General features: G+C 52.7%; 1 protein-coding gene across 3 annotated transcripts in view; it reads right to left on the reverse strand.

Moving 5' to 3' along the window:
* The window catches only part of COL5A3 (collagen type V alpha 3 chain), a 50,944-nt gene that overhangs the window by 1,004 nt on the left and 28,777 nt on the right, over positions 1-21,163 (reverse strand). For all 3 annotated transcript variants that reach the window (XM_011528042.3, NM_015719.4, XM_017026849.2), the window contains 34 exons: positions 20,524-20,568; positions 20,242-20,295; positions 20,084-20,128; positions 19,430-19,483; positions 19,275-19,328; positions 18,800-18,853; positions 18,568-18,675; positions 18,327-18,416; positions 18,010-18,063; positions 17,030-17,137; positions 16,801-16,908; positions 16,665-16,718; positions 15,994-16,047; positions 13,737-13,844; positions 13,607-13,660; positions 13,355-13,408; positions 13,192-13,245; positions 13,006-13,059; positions 12,355-12,462; positions 10,641-10,694; positions 10,411-10,464; positions 10,058-10,111; positions 9,305-9,358; positions 9,011-9,118; positions 8,785-8,838; positions 8,111-8,164; positions 7,821-7,928; positions 7,462-7,515; positions 7,340-7,375; positions 6,783-6,836; positions 5,972-6,182; positions 5,750-5,862; positions 2,255-2,323; positions 87-326 (listed from right to left, as the gene is read on the reverse strand). In XM_011528042.3, coding sequence (XP_011526344.1) covers positions 87-326; positions 2,255-2,323; positions 5,750-5,862; positions 5,972-6,182; positions 6,783-6,836; positions 7,340-7,375; positions 7,462-7,515; positions 7,821-7,928; positions 8,111-8,164; positions 8,785-8,838; positions 9,011-9,118; positions 9,305-9,358; positions 10,058-10,111; positions 10,411-10,464; positions 10,641-10,694; positions 12,355-12,462; positions 13,006-13,059; positions 13,192-13,245; positions 13,355-13,408; positions 13,607-13,660; positions 13,737-13,844; positions 15,994-16,047; positions 16,665-16,718; positions 16,801-16,908; positions 17,030-17,137; positions 18,010-18,063; positions 18,327-18,416; positions 18,568-18,675; positions 18,800-18,853; positions 19,275-19,328; positions 19,430-19,483; positions 20,084-20,128; positions 20,242-20,295; positions 20,524-20,568 — 2,631 coding nt within the window. The remainder of the gene's footprint in view (positions 1-86; positions 327-2,254; positions 2,324-5,749; positions 5,863-5,971; positions 6,183-6,782; positions 6,837-7,339; positions 7,376-7,461; positions 7,516-7,820; positions 7,929-8,110; positions 8,165-8,784; positions 8,839-9,010; positions 9,119-9,304; positions 9,359-10,057; positions 10,112-10,410; positions 10,465-10,640; positions 10,695-12,354; positions 12,463-13,005; positions 13,060-13,191; positions 13,246-13,354; positions 13,409-13,606; positions 13,661-13,736; positions 13,845-15,993; positions 16,048-16,664; positions 16,719-16,800; positions 16,909-17,029; positions 17,138-18,009; positions 18,064-18,326; positions 18,417-18,567; positions 18,676-18,799; positions 18,854-19,274; positions 19,329-19,429; positions 19,484-20,083; positions 20,129-20,241; positions 20,296-20,523; positions 20,569-21,163) is intronic.

The raw sequence follows: 21,163 nt of genomic DNA on the forward strand, positions 1-21,163 counted from the left end.
CAGAGAAGACAGAGACGGTGAGTTACCGGGAAGGTGGCCGACATCTTGCCTCCCCTCTCTAGCTGGCCACTGCCCCACCCTCTTACCCGGCAGCCATCCTGGGGGACGCTGACAGTGGCTGCTGTCGTCTGGTTGAAAGACAGCTCCTCTCCATTGGTGCCAAGGAAGCGGGCGGAGTGGCTGTAGTCACCCGTGGCTTCGTCCAGCCAGGCAGCTGCATTCTGGCAGGAGTAGGTGAAGTTCTGGCGAGCTGTGGCACTCAGCAGTTTCAGGAAGTTCAGCTGCACGACATTCACTGGGGACCCGTCGGCGTCCACGTAGGAGAACTGGTGAGAGGAGGGCAAGGCAGAGGATGAGGGGCTCCATGAGCCTCTTTCTGCAGAAGCCACCCCCTGGAATCTCCATCCACTGGCAGACAAGCCACCCCCCCCATGTCACCATCTCTGAGGAGGTCCCACCAGCCACCTAGAGATCCCTGGCAGAATCCCAAGAGTCACCTGAACATCCACTCTGTCCACCTCTCCATCCAGTAGGCCTCCATGCCCACTCCATCTGACCTCCCAAATTCTGATTGCTTCATCCACCAATCCAGGGTTTTAACACACTCATCCCCACCCAGAAGACACAACTCTGCCTCCACTCTTGTGAGTCGCTGGATCTACAGAGCTCACTGTCCCTGATACCAGATTTCTGCCCTGTCCAATATGGCAGCCACATGTCTAATAGCCACGTGGCTTTTGAGCACTTGAAATGTGGCTGATTTGAAGGAGGGATTTTTTTTTACTTTATTTAATTTTTTTTCCTTTTTTGGGGGGTAAGGGTTGGGATCTTGCTCTTTCGCGCAAGTTGGGGTGCACTGGCACAATCCTGGCTCATTCCAGCCTCCATCTCCTGAGCTCAAGTCATCCTCCCATCTCAGCCTCCCAAGTAGCTGGGACTATAGGTGCACACCACCATGCCTGGCTGGGACTTTTTTTTTTTTTAACTTCATTTAATTTTTTTTTTTTTTTTTGAGACGGAGTCTTGCTCTGTCGCCCAGGCTGGAGTGCAGTGGCATGGTCTCAGCTCACTGCAAGCTCCGCCTCCCGGGTTCACGCCTTTCTCCTGCCTCAGCCTCCCAAGTAACTGGGACTACGGGCGCCTGCCACCACGCCCGGCTAATTTTTTGTATTTTTAGTAGAGACGGGGTTTCACCATGTTAGCCAGGATGGTCTCGATCTCCTGACCTCGTGATCCGCCCACCTTGGCCTCCCAAAGTGCTGGGATTACAGGCGTGAGCCACTGTGCCTGGCCCTGAATTCTTTTACTTAAAAAAATTCACAACTAATGACTGAGCTTCAATCCAGTTATCAGAAAGCTTATGCTTGGAACAACTTGAGTCTGAATCTACTTTTTGAACTGTTGTTCAATGGTTTTATGAAATCTAAATATAGAGCAAATATTCCCAATAAAATTTAGCATTCAAATTGTGATGTACTATAAATGTAAAATCTCCATCAGATTTTGAAGAGCTAATCTGAAAAAAATACAAAATATCTTAATAATGCTTTTTTTTTTTTTGAGACGGAATCTCGCTCTGTTGCCCAGGCTGGAGTGCAGTGGCACGGTTTTGGCTCACTGCAACCTCTTCCTCCAGGGCTCAAGTGATTTTCCTGCCTCAGCCTCCTGAGTAGCTGGGATTACAGGCACACATCACCATGTCTGGCTAATTTTTTGTATTTTTAGCAGAGATGGGGTTTTACAATGTTGGCCAGGCTGGTCTTGAACTCCTGACCTCAGGTGATCCGCCTACCTTGGCCTCCCAAAGTGCTGGAATTACAGGCCACTGTACCCAGCCATGTGGCTTTTTCTTCTTCAAATTCACCAGACCCTGTCTTGACTGAGCCTTTGCATATGCCTTTCCCTCTCCCTGGAACACTTGTCCTTGTCCTTCCTAGCTTGCTAACACAGTGCATTCTTTAGGCTTCAGATGAGCTGTGATCTCTACTAGGAAGCCTTCTGGTCTTTCCAACACTGCCTCTAAATTTCCACCATGCCCTGTGCTTCCCCTATCCTGGCACCATCATTCTGTATGGCAATTGACTGCCTGTTACACATCTGATGCTGCTGCCACCCCACCTCCAGCTTGCGATCCCTAGGAAGGTAGAGGAAAGCCTATCCTCTTCATCTCACCTCTCAGAACCCACCCCTCAAACCCCCCTGCTGGTTCCCATCAATTTTCATGTCACTCCCCATCTCGGCCTCGGTGACTCACCTTCTTCCCTCGACGGAATGTGCTATACCAGCCTCCAGGCTTTTCCTTGGACCAGGAGGCCAATTTCACCTGGAAGAGAAAAGGGAGGGTCACTGTAGCTGACGCCCTTGGTGCCATCTAGATCTCATCTGCATTTCCCTCCTCACACAGTAGGCTGTTGTGACTATGTCAGGATGTTCTCTGGCTTCTGGGATGGACGAGCTCTGCCAGTGCACAATGGGGGAAGGAGGTTCATGCCCCTGAGGCAGCCCTCACCCAATGACTAATGGGAGTTGGTGGATAAATACCCCAGCTCCCTCACCTCCAAGGGGGATAACTCTCAGGTGCCTGTGCTACACAGTCTCCCAGGGCTCCCCAGTGGGATTGAGCTCTGGGTCTCCAATGGCACCATTTTATTTTAATTAATTAATTAATTAATTTTTGAGACAGGATCTCACTCTGTCACCCAGGCTGAAGTGCAGTGACATAATCATAGTTCACTGCAGCCTCAAACTCCTGGGCTCAAGCAATCCTCCCACTGCAGCCTCCCAAGTAGCTAGAACTACAGGCATGTACCCCCATGCCCAGCTTTTTTAAATTTTTATTTTTTGAGACAGAGTCTTGTTCTGTCACAGGGTCTTGGAGTGCAGTGGTGTGATCACTGGCTCACTGCAGCCTCGACTTCCAAAGTTCAAGCAATCCTCTGACCTCAGCCTCCTAAGTAGCTGGGATAATAGGAGTGTGCCACCATGCCTGTTTTTTTTGGGGGGGGGGGCGGGTGGAGGGGGTCTTTCTATGTTGCCCAGGCTGGTCTTGAACTCCTGGGCTCAAGCGATCCTCCCACCTCAGCCTCAGCCTCCCAAAGTGCTGGGATTACAGGTATGAGCCACTGTGCCCAGCCTCAGCCTCTCCCTTTAGGCTAAGCAGGTGAGTGAAGAGGAGGTCCTCAGATGTTAGTAATTGTTTAGGGATCAAGTCTTGCACTCCGGGCCCAGTGGGAAGTCCAAGCTTGTCTAAATTCCCATCCACTGGGCATCTGAGCTCCCACTAAACCAGGAGAAAATAAACCAGTTAAAAATAACAACATGGGGCCAGGCGCGGTGGCTCAAACCTGTAATCTCAGCACTTTGGGAGGCCGAGATGGGTGGATCACTCGAGGCCATGAGTTTGAGACCAGCCTGGCCAACATGGTGAAACCCCGTCTCTGCTAAAAATACAATACAAAATGAGCCAGGTGTGGTGACAGGCACCTGTAATCTCAGCTACTCGGGAGGCTAAGGCAGGAGAATTGCTTGAACTGGGGAGGTGGAAGTTGCAGTGAACCAAGATCACGCCACTGCACTCCAGCCTGGGCAACAGAGTGAGACTATGTCTCAAAAGAACAAAACAATATGGGGCTGGGCACAGTGGCTTTCTCCCACTGCTTAATCCCAGTGCTTTAGGTTACAGTGAGCTATGATGATGCCACTGCACTCCAGCCTGGGTGATAGAGAAAGACCCTGTCTATAAAAATTAGAATAGACCGGGTGTGGTGGTTTATGCCTATAATCACAATACCTTGGGAGGCCAATGCAGGAGGATCTCTTGAGGCCAGGAGTTCAAGACCAGCCTGGGCAACATAGTGAGACCCTCATCTCTATAAGAAATTTAAAAAATTAGCCAGGCATGGTGATGCACACCTGTGTGATGCACAGCTACTCAAGAGGCTGAGACAGGAGGATCATTGAACCCAGGAGGTTAAGGCTGCAGTGAGCTGTGATCCCACCACTGTGCTCTAGCCTGGGTGACAGAGTGAGACCCTGTCTGAAAAACAGACAAAAATAACAATAACAATAAATATTATTTCACACTTATACCGGCCAGGTTCTTGCTAAGTGCTTTACCTGCAGATAGAGGTATTAGCCCAGCACTACATGTAGTCAGGGTTTAGTAAATGTTCCCTGCAGGCCAGGTGCGGTGGCTCATGCCTGTAATCCCAGCACTTTGGGAGGCCAAGGTGGGCAGATCACCTGAGGTCAAGACCAGCCTAACCAACGTAGTGAAACCCCATCTCTACTAAAAAAAAAAAAAAAAAAAAAAAAAAAAAAAAAAAAAAAAAAAAATCAGCTGGGCATGGTGGCGCATGCCTGTAATTACAGCTCCTGGGGAGGCTGAGGCAGGAGAAACACTTGAACCTGGGAGGCAGAGGTTGCAGTGAGCTGAGATCACGCCACTGCATTCCAGGCTGGGAGACAGAGACAGACTCTGTCTCACACACACACAAAAACAAAACAGTTCACTGATATTTGTTTTTGCATCAGTATCTGAATTGCACAGCCACTCTATGAAGTAGATACTTTCTTTTTTTCTTTTCTTTTTCTTTTTTTTTTTTTTTTGAGATGGAGTCTCGCTCTGTCGCCCAGGCTGAAGTTCAGTGACACGATCTCGGCTCACTGCAAGCTCCGCCTTCTGGGTTCACGCCATCCTCCTGCCTCAGCCTCCCGAGTAGCTGGGACTACAGGCGCCTGCCACCATGCCTGGCTAATTTTTTGCATTTTTTTAGTAGAGACAGGGTTTCACCATGTTAGCTAGGATGGTCTCGATCTCCTGACCTTGTGATCCACCCGCCTCGGCCTCCCAAAGTGCTGGGATTACAGGAGTGAGCCACCGCGCCCGGCCTTCTTTTTTTTTTTTCTAGGCGGAGTCTCACTCTGTCACCCAGGCTGGAGTGCCATGGTGCAATCTTGGCTCATTGCAACCTCCGTCTCCCAAGTTCAAGTGATTCTGCTGCTTCAGCCCCCGAGTAGCTGGGATTACAGGCGCCCGCCATCACGCTCAGCTGATTTTTTTATTTTTAGTAGAGACGGGGTTTCACCATGTTGGTCAGCCTTGTCTCGAACTCCTGACCTCAGGTGATCTGCCCCCGCTTGGCCTCCCAAAGTGCTGGGATTACAGGCGTGAGCTACCACATCCAGCCTATTGATTTCTTTTGGAGTTTTCCTTGTCTGTCTTCCCATGGAAGGTATGAGTTCCATAAAAGCAGAGATAGTTTGTTTTCTTTCCTTTCTTTTTTCTGAGAAGGAGACTTGCTCTGTCTCCCAGGCTGGAGTGCAGTGGCACAATCTCGGCTCACACTAACCTCTGCCTCTAGGGCTCAAAGGATCCTCCCGCCTCAGTCTCCAGAGTAGCTGGGACTACAGGCTCGCACCACCATGCCCGCCAGTTTTTTAATTCTTGTAGAAATGGGGTTTTGCTATGTTGCTCAGGCTGGTCTCGAACTCCTGACCTCAAGCGATCCTCCCGCCTCAGCCTCCCAAAATGCTGAGATTATAGGCATGTGCCACCAGGCTGGCCTGATTTTTTTTCTTTTTGATCCTCTGCTGTAGTCCCAGCTCTTGAGGCAGGACTTGGCATACAGTAAGTGCTCAATAAATGCCGGTTGAAGGAAGGATAACGTCCCAGACAAGGTGGTTGTGGGTGTGGGGAGCAGGGGACAGCACTTCCTGGGGGAGGCGATGAGAGGTTTGGGTTACTCACGATCTCAAACTTCTTGTCGGGATAGAGGCAGGTCTCTCCTCCCGCCGTGAAGTTGCAAAAAACCCTGAACGAGTCCCGCGCGCAGCCCTGGTTGGGGTCAATCCAGTATTCCCCTGCCGCAGAGCCAGGCAGGGTGGGTGAGTCCGGATGGGACCCGACGGACCCCAACCCCCCCCACACCCCCACTCCGCCCATCCAAGTGGCGGGGGGACCGGACCTCACCATCAGGCAGGTGCGGGTGGTTGCGGTGCAGCTCGTGGCACACGAGGCCCGGGCGCTCCGCAGTGCCGGGAGGACGCCGCAGCTGCTCCAGCTCCAAGCTCAGCGATGTGAGCGAGGCCAGCACCTCCTCCAGGCCGCCCTCCACGACTGGAAGCGGGACTGGGACGAAGCGCCGGCGCCTGCGCAGCCCATGCAGCTCGGCAGGGGCACCCTGGGCGTAGGGGATGGGGACGGAGAAGAGAGGGGAGATGGGGGAGGGAGAGAGAGGGAGAAAGAGAGACAGGCAGAGATGAAGAGGCAGACAGACACAAATGAGAAAGAGGAGGGAGAGAGATAAACAAGGGGCAGAGATAGAGAAAGGAGAGATAAGCAGACAGGGAGAGACACACAGGAAAGAGAGAGACAGATTCAGAGATGGGGAGAAGCCAAGTTGTAAGAGGACAAAAGAGAAAGCGCAAGAATAGCAGAGACAGGGAGAGAGAGCAGGGAGAGAGACAGAAGATGAAATAGTGGCGCCAGTATAGACAGAGACAGATAAGGGAGATGGACAGAGACAGGGAGGGAGAGATGGGGTCCAAGAGACAAGACCCAGGTCAGAGCCCCCATGGGTGTCCCCCCAAGTCCCCCCTCCCAGGCCAGACCTTCCTTGGGGTTTTACAGGGAACTACCCTCTTCACCTACATCCTCTGAACACCTAGTGTGTGCCTGGCCCAGTGCTGCGCACGGAAGGACCCTCTGGGGACACCCAGACATAGTCCTTGCTCTCCCCCCAGGTTTTGGTGTCCATTCCCCCGCCCCCCGGGGAACTCACCGGGGGGCCTGGTGGGCCTGCAGGTCCAGTGTCTCCACGGGGGCCCATGGACCCCTGTAGGGAGAAGTCACTTGGAGAATGAACCCTGTCTATGGAGACCCTTCCCACCAACATACACACAAACACACACACACACTCACACACACACTCACACACACACAGTCTCACACACTCACATACACACTCACTCACACACTCACACACACACATACAGCCTTGGGGAAGAGACATGCAGTTTTCAGCATTAGGCATCAGACACAAATTTTCTTTTCATGTTTTAATGTCTCTGAAATCAGCTTCTTAACATCTTTGGCAAGTCATAGTTTACTTGGCAGAACTGTTTTCTTTCCTAGCAGTTTGTAAAATAATGGTACATCTTATAATTGATGGCATTTTGGATCTGATGAAATACAACCGTAGGTGTTGAATAAATATTTGTCGAACGCACGATTGCATGAATAAATAAATAAATGAAGGCAGAGACGTGGAGGGTTCTGGTGCAGTGAAGGGGGTGGGGAGCTGGGATGTGTAAGCCCACGGAAGCAGGGTGTACTCACCGGAGACCCTTTTGAGCCTTTCTGTCCTAGAGGGCCCTGTAGGGTACAGACAGGGAGAGCTGAGGTCCTGGCCTGGACCACCACAGTGACCTCATCCCACAAAAGATTCCCTGCATACTCACCGCCACACCTGGGGGCCCAGGGTGGCCCAGAGAGCCAATGGGACCAGGGGGACCCTAGGAAAAGGACATCGGGTCAGTATTGGTGGGGTACACCCTATTGCCCTGACACATCCCCCAGACAAGCCTTCAATCCTACCAAAGGAAGACCCCGAACCCTAGACAAGCCTCCAGTTCCCCCACAGAGAGACCCCAAACCCCAGACGCAGCCTCCAACTTGCCAGTTCCCAGATACATCCCCCTATTTTCCCCACACACACCCTCATTAATCCAGACCCACGTTTCCCAGACCCCACACCCACAGTCTCTCAACCGACCCCCTCCTTCAAATGCATTCTTCCCGCTCAGGTCAGGACACTCACAGGGTCTCCCTTGGGACCAGGGGGTCCCTGCACGCCTGGCAACCCCTGATCTCCTTTCTCACCAGCTTCTCCCGGGGGGCCAATGAGACCGATCAATCCAATGTGGCCCTGAAGGACAAAAGAGGCACAGACAGGGGAGGACGTGGGAGGATTCAGGGAGGTTTTTCTCCTAGAGCCTTAGGGTGATGAGTTTGGGAGCAGAGGATGCACCAATCTCCCAGCCCCCCAGCCAGGGAGGGAGGGAAAGAGGGGAGGAGATGGGGAAGAGAATAATGGAATGATGTCCTTACCTTTTCCCCCTTGGGGCCAGTGTCTCCCTTCAGCCCTGGGAGGCCAGAGGGCCCCTGGGAGAAGAGCAAGGGTCAGTTAGGGATTCTCAAATGTGAACTCGAGGTCTGTGTGGGTGGTTAGGGGATGGTCAAATGGGAAATTATGCAGATTTCAAATGGGAATTACCAGGGATGAGGTCAAGGGATGGTCAGAGTAGGCCACCAAGGTGGGATGATGAGAGCTAATGAGGGGTTGACTGGAGGATGGACAACGTGAGTGGTCAGTGGCCAAGGTCAGCGTGGGTGATCAGTGTAGACCATTAAGATGGAGAGTCAGTGCAGGCATCAAGATGAAGGGTCAGTGTGGTCAGTGTAGACCATCAAGGTGGAGTATTAGAGCAGAGGGTTATAGAGATGGGCAGTGTAGACCATCAAGGTGGAAGGTCAGAGCAGGGGGTTATAGAGATGGGCAGTGTAGATCATCAAGGTGGAGTGTTAGAGCAGAGGGTTATAGAGATGGGCAGTGTAGACCATCAGGGTGGAAGGTCAGAGCAGATGGTTAGTAGAGACAGGCAGTATGGACACTCAGATGGATGGTCAGTGAGGGCTAGCCTGCACCAATGCTCACTAGGTGGTCACTAGGTGCCCAGAGTGGTCCTCAGAGCCAGAACCTCAAGGATGAACAAGTCTCTTACCAGGGGGCCAGGAGGGCCCATCTGTCCAGGGGCTCCCAGGAGGCCTGGTTCACCCTGAGAATGGAACAGAACATGGGGTGGGCTGCACCCTGTCAGAACACAGTGTGGACCCCCCCCCGACCATGCACCAGGGGCAGCCCCTCCAAACGGTGATGGGATCACAAGCTGGGAGCAGACAGAGAGGAGCTGGATCCACCCTGTCCCACCCCTGCCCCGCTCCACTCACCACAGGGCCAGGGATCCCTCGAAGACCCTCAGGCCCCACACGTCCAGGGGGCCCTCTAGCCCCCATTGGACCCGTCCTCCCTGGGGGCCCATCAGGACCTGGCTCCCCCTGAAATGGACACAGGCAAGGGAGGGGCCAGAGTCAGAGGGTTCCTGCCTCCTGACCCCTGCCAAGAAGCATCTGGGATCGGGAGGGAGTAGGTGCACAGAGTGGTCATAGGTCCACCCTCTCCTGATGGCCCCACTGTTGGCCTAGAGTAGTGCAGGGACCCTTCCCCTTGCCAGGGGGACTCACCTTGGCACCTTTCTCCCCTTCTCTGCCTTCTCGACCCATGTGGCCTGAAGGACCCTTGGAAGGGAAAGACAGTGAGGGGGGTCTAGGGGCTGACTGAGGGTCAGAGGGGTGAGTGGGGTCTGGGTGACTGGGGGGTTATGGATGAGTGGGGTCTGTAAGGTGAGTGGGGTCTGTGGGGTGAATGAGGTCTGGGTGAGTGGGGGCTGTGGGTGAGTGGGGGCTGTGGCTGAGTGGAGGCTGTGGGTGAGTGGAGGCTGTGGGTGAGTGGAGGCTGTGGGTGAGTGGGGTCTGTGGGGTGAGTGGGGTCTGTGGGTGAGTGGGGTCTGTGGGTGAGTGGGGGCTGTGGGTGAGTGGGGGCTGTGGGGTGAGTGGGGTCTTTGGGGTGAGGTGGGGTGTGTGGATGAGTGGGGTCTGTGGTTGACTGAGGTCTGTGGGGTGAGTGGAATCTGTGGGTGAGTGGGGTCTGTGGGTGAGTGTGTTCTGTGGCTGAGTGGGGTCTGTGGGGTAAGCGGGGGCTGTGGGGTGAGTGGGGTCTGTGGGGTGAGTGGGGGCTGTAAGGTGAGTGGGGTCTGTGGGTGAGTGGGGTCTGTGGGTGTGTGGGGTCTGTGGGGTGAGTGGGGGCTGTGGAGTGAGTGGGGTCTGTGGGTGTGTGGGGTCTGTGGGGTGAGTTGAGGGCTGTGGGATGAGTGAGGTCTGTAAGGTGAGTGGGGGCTGTAGATAAGCTGAGGACCCAGGAGGTGGCTTATCACTTACCCTCTTGCCGGGGGGCCCGGGGGCGCCGGGCTCCCCAGAAGCTCCAGGCGGACCCTGGAGGAGACAAGGACACCAGCTGTGGTCTCAGCTAACATTGTTTGAGCCTGACTGTTTTAGGACGCCTTGGACCAGAGGACACCCTTCCCCAAGCCTCACCCCAGCACCGGGTACTCCCACCTCCCACCTACTCCCTCAAGCTGCTCACATTCCTGGGGGTCCCCAGAGAGGTGAAGCGGGAGCATCTGCAGGGGCCTTGGGTACCCCACTAGCCCACTCCCCTGCCCCCCCAATTCACTCACTCATTAGCTCCCCAACCCCCGCCTCAGCACCACACCCTCTGTTTTCCCACTCACCGGTCCCCCAACATCACCAGGGTCTCCCTTCTCCCCTGGGGAACCATCTATGCCCTGCATGGGGGGAAGACAGAGTTGGGAGGGGTGATGAGGGTACGTGAGAATTTGGGATGGGGCTGGGAGGCAAAAGAACGTTTTTGGTTCCACTGTCAGTGCCCAGGTCTGTGGGGGTAGGGAGATGGGGACAGAATTAGGAAATATGCCAGGATTGGGGAGGGGGTCACACTCACTGAAACTCCAGGGTCTCCTGGGGGCCCTAGATCTCCGGGCAGCCCCGTGGGGCCCTGGAACACAGAATGATTAATAATCACATCTCTGAATTGTGGAGCAATCATGCATTTATGGAACAGATCAACTGTATCCAGGAACAGTTTGGTTTCTGGGGACACATTAGTGAACAAAACATAAAATCCCTGGCTTGGTAGAGCGAACATTCTCGTGTTTCATGGGTGCAGACGCTGAGCTAAGAATGCCGCACGCATGGTCTCACTGCAGCGTCCTCACAGCCTCTCAGCTCGGGACTCACAGAGAAAACTGGCCATTCATTTGTCTATTCATTCATTGATTCGTCTATTCATTCATTCACTCATTCATTCATTCATTCATCCATCCATCCATTCATTCATACACTCAGAGAAGGGACACGCCAAACAATGCCATTCAAGTCGAGGTCCCACAGATGCTAAAGCCCCTTCCTGACCTCCACCCGCCCCAACCTCTACTGTGGTGACAGAAGGGCCTCAACCTTCACCTCAAAGCCAAATCCCACATCCACCCCAAATCTGACCCAATTCAACCTTAATCTTTGCAACAGTGTTAGAATGATCTGCCGTGAAATCAACTTTCTTGCCATTCAATGATGTATAACCACTGCACGTTTATGTTTCATTCACACATTTACTCACTAATTCAAGTGTTAGAATGATCTGCCATGAAATCAACTTTCTTGCCATTCAATGATGTATAACCACTGCACGTTTATGTTTCATTCACACATTTACTCACTAATTCACTCATCCATCCATCCATTCGTTTATTCACTCATCTCTTCAGTCATTTTGTTCACTTGCGCCTCTGTCCATTCATTCATGCATCCATTCACTCATTCACTCACTCATTTGTCCATTCGGCCACTCATTCATTCATCCATTCATTCATATTCATGCATCCATTAATTTACTTATTCATCCATTAATTTACTCATTCATCCATTCATTCACTCATTTATTCGTGCACATTTATTCATTCACATATTCATATATCCACTGATTTATTCATTTTTCCATTAATTCACTCATTCACCCATTCATTCCCTCGTTCATCCATTCATTCACTCGTTCATCCATTCACTCACTCGTTCATCCATTCACTCATTTATTCATCCATTTATTCATTCACGTATTCATCCATCCACTGAGTTATTCACTTGTCCATTCATTAATTCACTCATTCATACATTCATCCACTCATTCATTAATCCATCCATCCACCCATTCATTCATTCATCCGTGTTCTGGGGGTTACTCATGAGATCAGTAAATTAGAGGATGCAATCCCTGGCTAGAAGTCTGGGAGAGTTTTGGCCGAGCGCGGTGGCTCATGCCTGTAATCCCAGCACTTTGGGAGGCTGAGGCATGCTGATCACGAGGTCAGGAGATCGAGACCATCCTGGCCAACATAGTGAACACCCATCTCTACTAAAAATACAAAAATTAGCTGGGTGTGGTGGCGCGTGCCTGTAGTCCTGGCTACTTGGGAGGCTGAGGCAGAAGAATCGCTTGAACCCGGAAGACGGAGGTTGCAGTGAGCTGAGATCGTGCCACTGCACTCCAGCCTGGTGACAGAGCAAGACTCCATCTCAAAAAAAAAAAAAAGTTTGGGAGAGCTTCAAGTACATTCAAGTGCCCCCTCCCATGTCTGCCCCCACTTCCCCCCAGGACTCACCACGCTCCCTTTGGCTCCATCCTCTCCAGGGGGACCTTTCTTGCCTGGGGGTCCAGCAGCTCCAGATGGGCCTGAGTCCCCCTTTTCACCAATGTCTCCCTTGGGCCCCTTTACAGAAAGAGGTCAGAGGTCAGAGTGGCCTGGACTCTCCAGGGATCAAGGATTAGCATACTTGGATTCAGGCATTGGGGTGGTCTGGGACTTTTCTGGGGTCAGGGTTCAGAGTAGCCTAGGTTGTCCAAGGGTCAAAGGTCAGAAGGAGCTAGGACTTAAGACAGTGAAAGGTCTGGATGGTCTAGGTGCCCATTGGTCATGTGCAAGGTTGGCCTAGCCCATGTGCTGCCCTTGAGTGAATTAGAAGAGGGGCCCCATCTGGGCAACTCATCCTCAGGTCAGGACTCATGACTCAGATTTGAGCCCTCACCTATCCCCTGGGTCATGTAGTCTTGTGTAGTGTGCAACCTGCAGAACTGTACATAGCAGCCCTATCTGAGAACTTCCAGGTGTCCTTCCTCAAGGTAATCAGGGACGGCCACAGGACAGGGGTGAGTGGATGATCTTGCACTGTCCAGAGGTCAAAGTGGCCCAAGATGCCCAGGGGTCAGGGGTTCCCTGAGTTGGGTGCAGGGACCACATCACACAGTCACTCACCGGGATGCCTGGGGCTCCTGGAGGCCCTGGGTCTCCAGCGTCCCCTCGCTCACCCTGCAGGAGGCAAAGTGAGAGTGGGGAGAGGTCCCATCCTAGCAGACAGGGAGGGGCTCCCCAGAATGTCCCTGCCCAATAGGACTAGATTTATCTCTTCCCCCCGTGCAGCCCCTGCCTTCCCTCACTCACCTTCTCACCCACGGCGCCTGGCTGACCAACTCCTCCAGGCAGCCCTGGAGTGCCCTGGAGAGACAGCAAGGGGTAAGAGTGGGACTGTGGAATCCCAACATCCTCTTCTTAGGAAATGGTTGTCCCCATCTCTGAGCCTTCCTGGCCCCCCAAGAGTTCTCACCTCTGATCCAGTGGGGCCTTGGGGACCCCGAGGACCTGGAGCTCCATGGGGACCCTGTGGAAGGTCAGAATTAGTACCCAGTGACCCCAGGCCCCTCTCCCCAAAAGGCCACATTGACCACAGATACCACTGTCAATGCTGGTGACCCTCAGGGCCCTTAAAATGACAATGTCCCTCAAATGAATCTAATGCCTGCCGCCAACCTATAACCCCACCATCCTCCCCCTCCCACCTTCCTCTGGGAGTGCATACCATGGACCCGACGTCTCCGACCTCCCCTTTCTCTCCCGGAGGGCCTGGCAGCCCCTGTGGAACAAAGAAGCAAGATTGGGGCACCAGGTAGGGAGAATCAGAAGTGCCACCCCCAAACCCAGACACCCACCTGCAGTCCAGGAGGGCCAATCACCCCCACAAAGCCTCTGACTCCGTCATCTCCTTTCTGCCCAAAGAGGCCTGGGGGTCCCCGGCGCCCCTGAGCCCCGTCTGCTCCCTGGAAGAACACAAACAGGGGCACATTTAAGGTCTGGGTCAGTGATTAGGGCAGAGTGAGGCTCAAGGGTCAAGACTGAGGTTAAGGGTTGGAGTCAGGGTTCAGATTAAGTTTAGAGAGGGTCAGTGTTGAGTTGGAGTTGGGGTCTAGGTTAAGGAACAGGGCTTGGGAATGAAGTCAAGGGTTGAGTCAAAGTGTTAAACAGTGAGTCGGATTTGCAGTTGAGGTTCAGTTCTTGGGCAGGGTTCAACTGGGGTTGAGATGGAATTTAGGGTTGGGTTTGAGGTTGGGCCCAGGGTCATATTCAAAGTTTGAGTTCAGGTCTGGGGTCAGCATTGGAAGAGTTGGGTCAGAGTTGGGGTTAAGGATAGGGCCGTATGTTCCTATTGTATGGTAATAAACAAAAAAGGACAGGTCTGGGTCAGGGCTTGGTTAAGAGATTTGAAGATAAGGCTTTTGTTTGTTTGTTTGTTTTTGTTTGTTTGTTTTTGTTTTTTGTTTTGTTTTGAGAAGGAGTCTCACTCTGTCACCCAGGCTGGAGTGCAGTGGCGCAATCTCTGCTCACTGCAACCTCTGCCTCCCTGGTTCAAGCAATTCTCCTGCTTCAGTCTCCTGAATAGCTGGGATTACAAGTGTGTGCCACTGTGCCTGGCTTTTTTTTTTTTTTTTTCTTTTCCCTCTTTTGAGACGGAGTCTCCCTCTATCGCACAGGCTGGAGTGCAGTGGTGCTATCTTGGCTCACTGCAACCTCTGCCTCCTGGGTTCAAGCAATTCTCCTGGCACAGCCTCCCAAGTAGCTGGGATTACAGGGGCCCGCCACCATGCCCAGCAAATTTTTTTTTTGTATTTTTAGTAGAGATGGGGTTTCACCATTTTGGCCAGGCTGATATTGAACTCCTGACCTCAGGTGATCCACCCGCCTTGGCCTCCCAAAGTACTAGGATTACAGGCATGAGCCACCGCACCTGGCTGGAGATAAGGTTTGAGTAGAACTGAGGTTAAGGTCATGAGTAGAGTTGAGACTGGGGCTGAAGTGGGGGTTCAGAGCTGGGTTTAGGTTGGAATTTAGTCTGATTTTAAGGTTGAGTGTATATTGGACATCGATATAGAGGGGCAGATCAAAGTTGAGCATGAGGTTGAGATTGAACCAGATTCTGGGGTTGAGTCCATATTGGATGTTGGCATTGAGGGGAAGACATGGTTGGAGTTGAGATTGAGCCAAATTCTGGGGGTGAGTTCATATTGGATTTTGGTATTGAGGGAAAGACATGGTTGGGTTGGGACTGGGCAGGATTCTGGAGTTGAGTTCACATTGGGTGCTGGTATTGAGGGGGAACACATGGTTGGGTTGGGATTGAATCAGATTCTGGGGTTGAGTTCACATTGGGTGTCAGCATTGAGGGGAAGACATGGTTGGATTGGGATTGAGACAAATTCTAGGGTTGAGTTCATATTGGGTGTCGGTATTGAGGGAAATACATGGTTGGGTTGGGATTGGGCCAGATTCTGGGGTTGAGTTCCCATTGGGTGTTGGCATTGAGGGGAAGACACGGTTGGGTCGGGATTGAATCAGATTCTGGGGGTGAGTTCATATTGGGTGTCGGTATTGAGGGGAAGACATGGTTGGGTTGGGATTGAATCAGATTCTGGGGTTGAGTTCACATTGGGTGTCAGCATTGAGGGGAAGACATGGTTCGACTGGGATTGAGCCAAATTCTGGGGTTGAGTTCACATTGGGTGTTGGCATTGAGGGGAAGACATAGTTGGGTTGAGATTGGGCCAAATTCTGGGGTTGAGTTCACATTGGATGTTGGTATTGAGAAGAAGACATGATTGGGTTGGGGTTGACTCCGAATTTGGGATTGGGTTCATACTGGGTGTTTGTACTGAGGGGAAGACATGGTTGGGTTGGGATTGAATCAGATTCTGAGGGTGAGTTCATATTGAGTGTCGGTATTGAGGGGACAACATGGTTGGGTTGGGATTGACTCCGATTCTTGGATTGAGTTCACATTGGGTGTCAGTACTGAGGGAAGATCAGGGTTGGGTTTGAGGTTTGGATTAAGTCAGTGTGCTTCCACTGTCGTTTGCTCCCACTATCCCTCCCTTCAAGGACCCAGAGAAGGACTGAAAAGATGGGGGCACTCACCGGGGGACCTGGGTGTCCTGCAGGACCCCGTATCCCTGGTTGTCCAGGTGGGCCCTGGGAGAACAGGAAACAGAATCAAAAATTCCCTCAGGTTTAAGATTAGAGAGGGCACTGGAGCTATCAATCACTGCCTCCCACACCCCCTTTATGAGAACAACTTCCCCTACCAGGCAGCAACAGCTACATCCCCCCAAATCCTGTCTTCTCAGCCACCAACAGATGGGATCAGACAGACGTCTGTCCTAAGCCCAGCCCTGGCCACAAGTTCCACCAAGACCCAGGGACGAAGCTGGCTCAATGATGCAAGCCACTGGAGCTGACATTCGGGGTGGGGGGAAGTTGGGTATCAGATGCTTCAGTGCCTGCCACGCAGAGTCACAGGCAGAGGGAAGGATGTGTCACTAACAATGGAGAAGGTTACCCGCACCCCAGTGCCTTTCCAGTTCTTTGGGAGCCCCAGCTGTCCCTATCCTGTCTGCAGTTGGGTTCTGTGGACCCATCGCTCCAGGCAGCTCAAGTACCTTCTGTTGCATGTAATTGTCAAGATGGTACCCGAGAAGGCAGAAAACTCCATGGCCTCTCCTACCCCATGGAGAATGATCTCTACATCCCTGGCCTCCTCTTTCTTCCGCTACCCACCCCACCCTGCCCCACTGGGGACCTTCACTCACCGCGTCTCCTTTATCGCCTTTACTCCCCTTGTGTCCGGGGGCACCCACATCCCCCTGCAGAGGAAATGGGATGAAGGACCCAGCTTCCATTCACCCCCATCCTCCCCTGGACCCTTCCTCTCTGTGAACCCCTCACCTTGTCCCCTTCCTCGCCAGAAGGCCCAGCAGCTCCAGGGGGTCCCAGAGGCCCCAGGGGCCCTGGGATCCCATCTTTGCCAGTGGGGCCAGGGGGGCCACGTTCTCCCTGTTGTGGGGAATGGAAAGGGGGATGTCAGGGCAGGAATGTCCTGCAGGAGCCATGTCCTGGGATGTGGCAGGGCCAGACCCTGAGGAGGCCCTAGGAATGGGATGGGCAAGTCACTTACCCGGGACCCCTTCTTGCCTGCAGGGCCAACGGGGCCTTCGCTGCCACTTTGGCCAGGAAGTCCAATGCCTCCTGCTGGGCCCAAAGGACCGCGCTCACCAGGGGAGCCCTGAGAACAGGGGTGATGAATCAGGTATAATACCAGTAGTAGCTGTCCTTTATGGAGGGTTTTTAAGCCACCAGGCACTGAGTTCTGAGGTTACCAGGATTGTATCTAACCTGTTCCCCTCCTGCAGCAGCCAGAGGGTGCCTGTGAGCACCTGAGGGGCAGGGCATATTCTTCTCCTGCTCAAGAACACTCCATGGCTCCCATCTCACTTAGAACAAAAGCCATAGTCCTCCTGGCAGCCTATACATATATATATATATATATATATATATATATATATATATTTGTAGAGACAGGACCTGGCTATGTTGCCCAGGCTGGTCTCAAACTCCTGGGCTCAAGCGATTCTCCAGCCTCAGCCTCCCAAAGAGCTGGGATTATAGGCATGAGCAACTACACCTGGCCCAAGAAAAGGGGTTTTTATATGTTGATGGCCAATGCACAGGTAAGTATTTACTGGATAAATGATCTCAATGAGGTTTGTGATCATACATGAGATAAGGCTTCCCATCATGGCTATTTTACAGACAAGGAAACTGAGGCTTGCCAAGGAATACAACGGCCCAGCCAGTGAGCAACAGAACTGACCTTGGCTCATTGCAACCTCCACCTCCCAGGTTCAAGCGATTCTCCTGCCTCAGCCTCTAGAGTAGCTGGGATTACAGGCATCTGCCTCCATGCCTGGCTAATTTTTGTATTTTTAGTAGAGACGGGGTTCCACCATGTTGGCCAGGCTGATCTTGAACTCCTGACCTCAAGTGATCTGCCTGCCTCAGCCTCCATCATGGGTTTTATCATGACAATGTCAAGCTTCCAAGACACCTTGAGTCCCCTCCACCCTGCCCCCACCCAGCACATGGGGTTATACTTACATTGGCCCCCACGGGCCCTGGGGGGCCCTTATCACCCTTTAAGCCAGTAGGTCCCTGAAGGAGGAGATAATTCACAGTTAAGAGACTCCCAAAGGTGTCCCCAGGTCCTGTCTTCCTCTGTGGGGAGCTCACAGTCCCCACCTCTCTCCTGGGACTGGACACTGAGCTTTGAGGGGTCTGCCTTCCCCAGTTCCCTCCACCATTTTTTTTGCTTTCATCATTTCCCGCACCCCAAATGCTATTCCCCATCCCTCCCCTGACCCCCCCATCCTTTCCTTCTCTAAGGGACATGCAGGAGGGTCTCCAAAGATACTCACCGGGTCCCCAGGGCCCCCTTTGGGGCCGGGAAAGCCCCTGAGTCCAGCTGGCCCTTCTTTCCCAAGGGGTCCTGGTGGTCCCAGTTCCCCCTACAGGAGTGCAAAGGAGGGAAGTCAAGCTCCAGGGAGGGGATGTCTCCCTCCAATCTGTGACTCAGGGCCCCCTCCCCCATGAGACTGATTCTGAGTCCTTGGTTGATCTTGGATGTTCAACCAAGATCTCCAGTGGACAGTGTCTCACCTTGGCCCCCTCTCTGCCTTCCAGGCCAGGAAGACCTTGTTCACCAGGAGGTCCAGGGGGGCCTGGAGGCCCCCTTTCACCTAGAGGTCCCACTTCTCCTGTCTTTCCCTGGTGAGGAAGAAGGCTCCTGTTGAGTGGGGGTGGCCTAGGGGAGTCGCTCAGGAGTCCAGCTTTCCCCTAAATATCCCCCAACTGGTACAAAACAAGGGAGGTTTATGGAGTCCACTCTGACCTGAGGGCCTAAGACACCAGCTGGTCCAGGCGGGCCTGTCTGACCTTGGAAGCCCTAGAGAGAAAAATTAAATGTGGGGGCGGTGTTACATGGGGAAGGGATGGAGGAGCAGGAGACAGGGAAGGCCTGATAGGATCAGGAATCTGGCCGGTCCGGTGGCTCACGCCTGTAATCCCAGCACTTTGGGAGGCAGAGGCAGGTGGGTCACTTGAAGCCAGGAGTTTGAGAGCAGCCTGGTCAACATGATGAAGCCCCGTCTCTACTAAAAATACAAAAATTAGCCGGGCGTGGTGGCACGCGCCTGTAGTGCCACTCGGGAGGCTGAGGCAGGAGAATTGCTTGAACCTGGGAGGCAAAGGTTGCAGTGAGCCGAGATTGCCCCACTGCACTCTAGCCCAGGTGACAGAGTGAGACTCTGTCTCAAAAAGAAAAAAAAAAAAAAGGATCAGGAATCAAAGGTTGAGGGGTTACTCACCAGTTCTCCTCTCTGTCCAGGGTGCCCTGGTCGCCCATCTTTACCTTGGTGACCCTGGGGGATGAGGTGGGAAAAAGTTGGGGCACAGATACAGGGCTTCCTCCCTTCCCACATCCTCCACCCACCCAACCCCCAATGAGGGTGACCTCACTCACAGGGGGGCCCTTTGGCCCAGGGAATCCTGGAGGGCCTTGCAGACCAGGGAGGCCCTGAAATGGAAACAGAAATCATGATCTCATCCCCCCTGCCTCCCTGCCCACTCCCTGAGCCCCACATAATGACAACAGGATCGAGCACATATTGAGTGCTTACTGCATGCCAGGCATGGGCAGGGCATTCTCCACAAGTCAGTCATTTTATTCACCACTGTAGCCCTTTGGGTTGGAGACTGAGGTTACTCCCATTTTACAGAGGAGAAAACTAAGGCACAGAGTGGTTAAGTGACTTGCCCAAGGTCACACAGTAGGTGAGTGGCAGAGCCAGGACTTGAACTCATGGCTCTCTGACTTCACAGGCTGTGCTCCTTCTTTTTTTCTTTTCTTAAAGATGGAGTCTTGCTCTGTCACCCAAGCTGGAGTGCAGTGGTGTGATTAGCTCACTTCAGCTTCCAACTCCTGGGCTCAAGCAATTCTCTCATCTCAGCTTCCAGCATAGGTGGGACTACAGGCGTGCACCACCACACCCAATTAAGCTGTGCTCTTACCACTGCATTATAATGTCTCTTCATCTCTTGGGTTTGTCCTCCACTCAGAATCTCTCTCTCTCACACACACACACATTCACACACACACACACACACACACACTCACCTTTTCTCCAGGGATCCCAGGGGCTCCATCCTGGCCCACATCGCCCTAGGACAGAGTGAATGAGACTCAGGCCCCAGAACAAACTCAACTGGGAAGAATTTGGAGGGACTGGCTGAGCCTGGGGCATGGGGGGCCTTGATTGCCCACCCATCCCATACCTTGGGGCCTGGTTGCCCTGTGGCACCCGGTTGCCCCCTCTCTCCACGGGAACCCTGAACAAAAAAAAAAGGCAAAGATCAGATATGAGGGGGTGGGGGAGCCTGGGAGATGAGACCAAGTCTTCCAGGTCCCCTCCCCTTGTGACTCCCTCTCCTGCCCGACCAGGGACATTGATATAACCCAAACCCTTTCCCTGCCCACAGATGACCTCTCCACTACCTTTCCTTCCCAGCCCTGTCCCCAAGTCCCAGCAGGGTAGGGGGCACTGTCTATTTTCTTACTGGTGGTCCCCGCTCTCCTTCCAGGCCTGGCTGCCCTGTCTTTCCCTGAAAATGAATTGTAAGAGAGAAAGCAGAAGAGAGTTAGGGTGCAAAGGTATGACGCAAACACAAAAAGACACCCAGTCACAGACCCAGAAAGCTGTCTGCCACATATTTATTCACAAGCTTTTCAGTCATACACATACACACAAATACAACTTATACTCAAAACCACACAAAGATCTCAAACACACAATTACAACTATGATTGCATCTACAGAGTACAAACGTGCAAGCATGTTTGCCCACAAGACATATATTGATCACAGCTGTGCAGTATGCATACATGATTGCATGTAATCATGGCATGCATTTGGCAATCCACAGCCTGAAGATGACACAGAACTCATCATGCAATACATCTCTTGCACACATGTATACCCACTGTAAACACATGAAGGCCTGGATTCAGCTGAGGACTTTGTCTTGGTAAGCACAGCAGTATACATACACTCATGTACGTACATACAATGTTCATTAACACTGTTACAATACACACATAGCAACACAAATACAATACATGCATGTATACCCATCACTCAGTGTGCACAGAAACACACACATGTGTATACACATGTCCTTTCACGCATATGTACAAGCT

The sequence above is a fragment of the Homo sapiens genome, chromosome 19 (genome assembly GCF_000001405.40).
Source record: "Homo sapiens chromosome 19, GRCh38.p14 Primary Assembly".
Classification (NCBI taxonomy): Eukaryota; Metazoa; Chordata; class Mammalia; order Primates; family Hominidae; genus Homo; species Homo sapiens.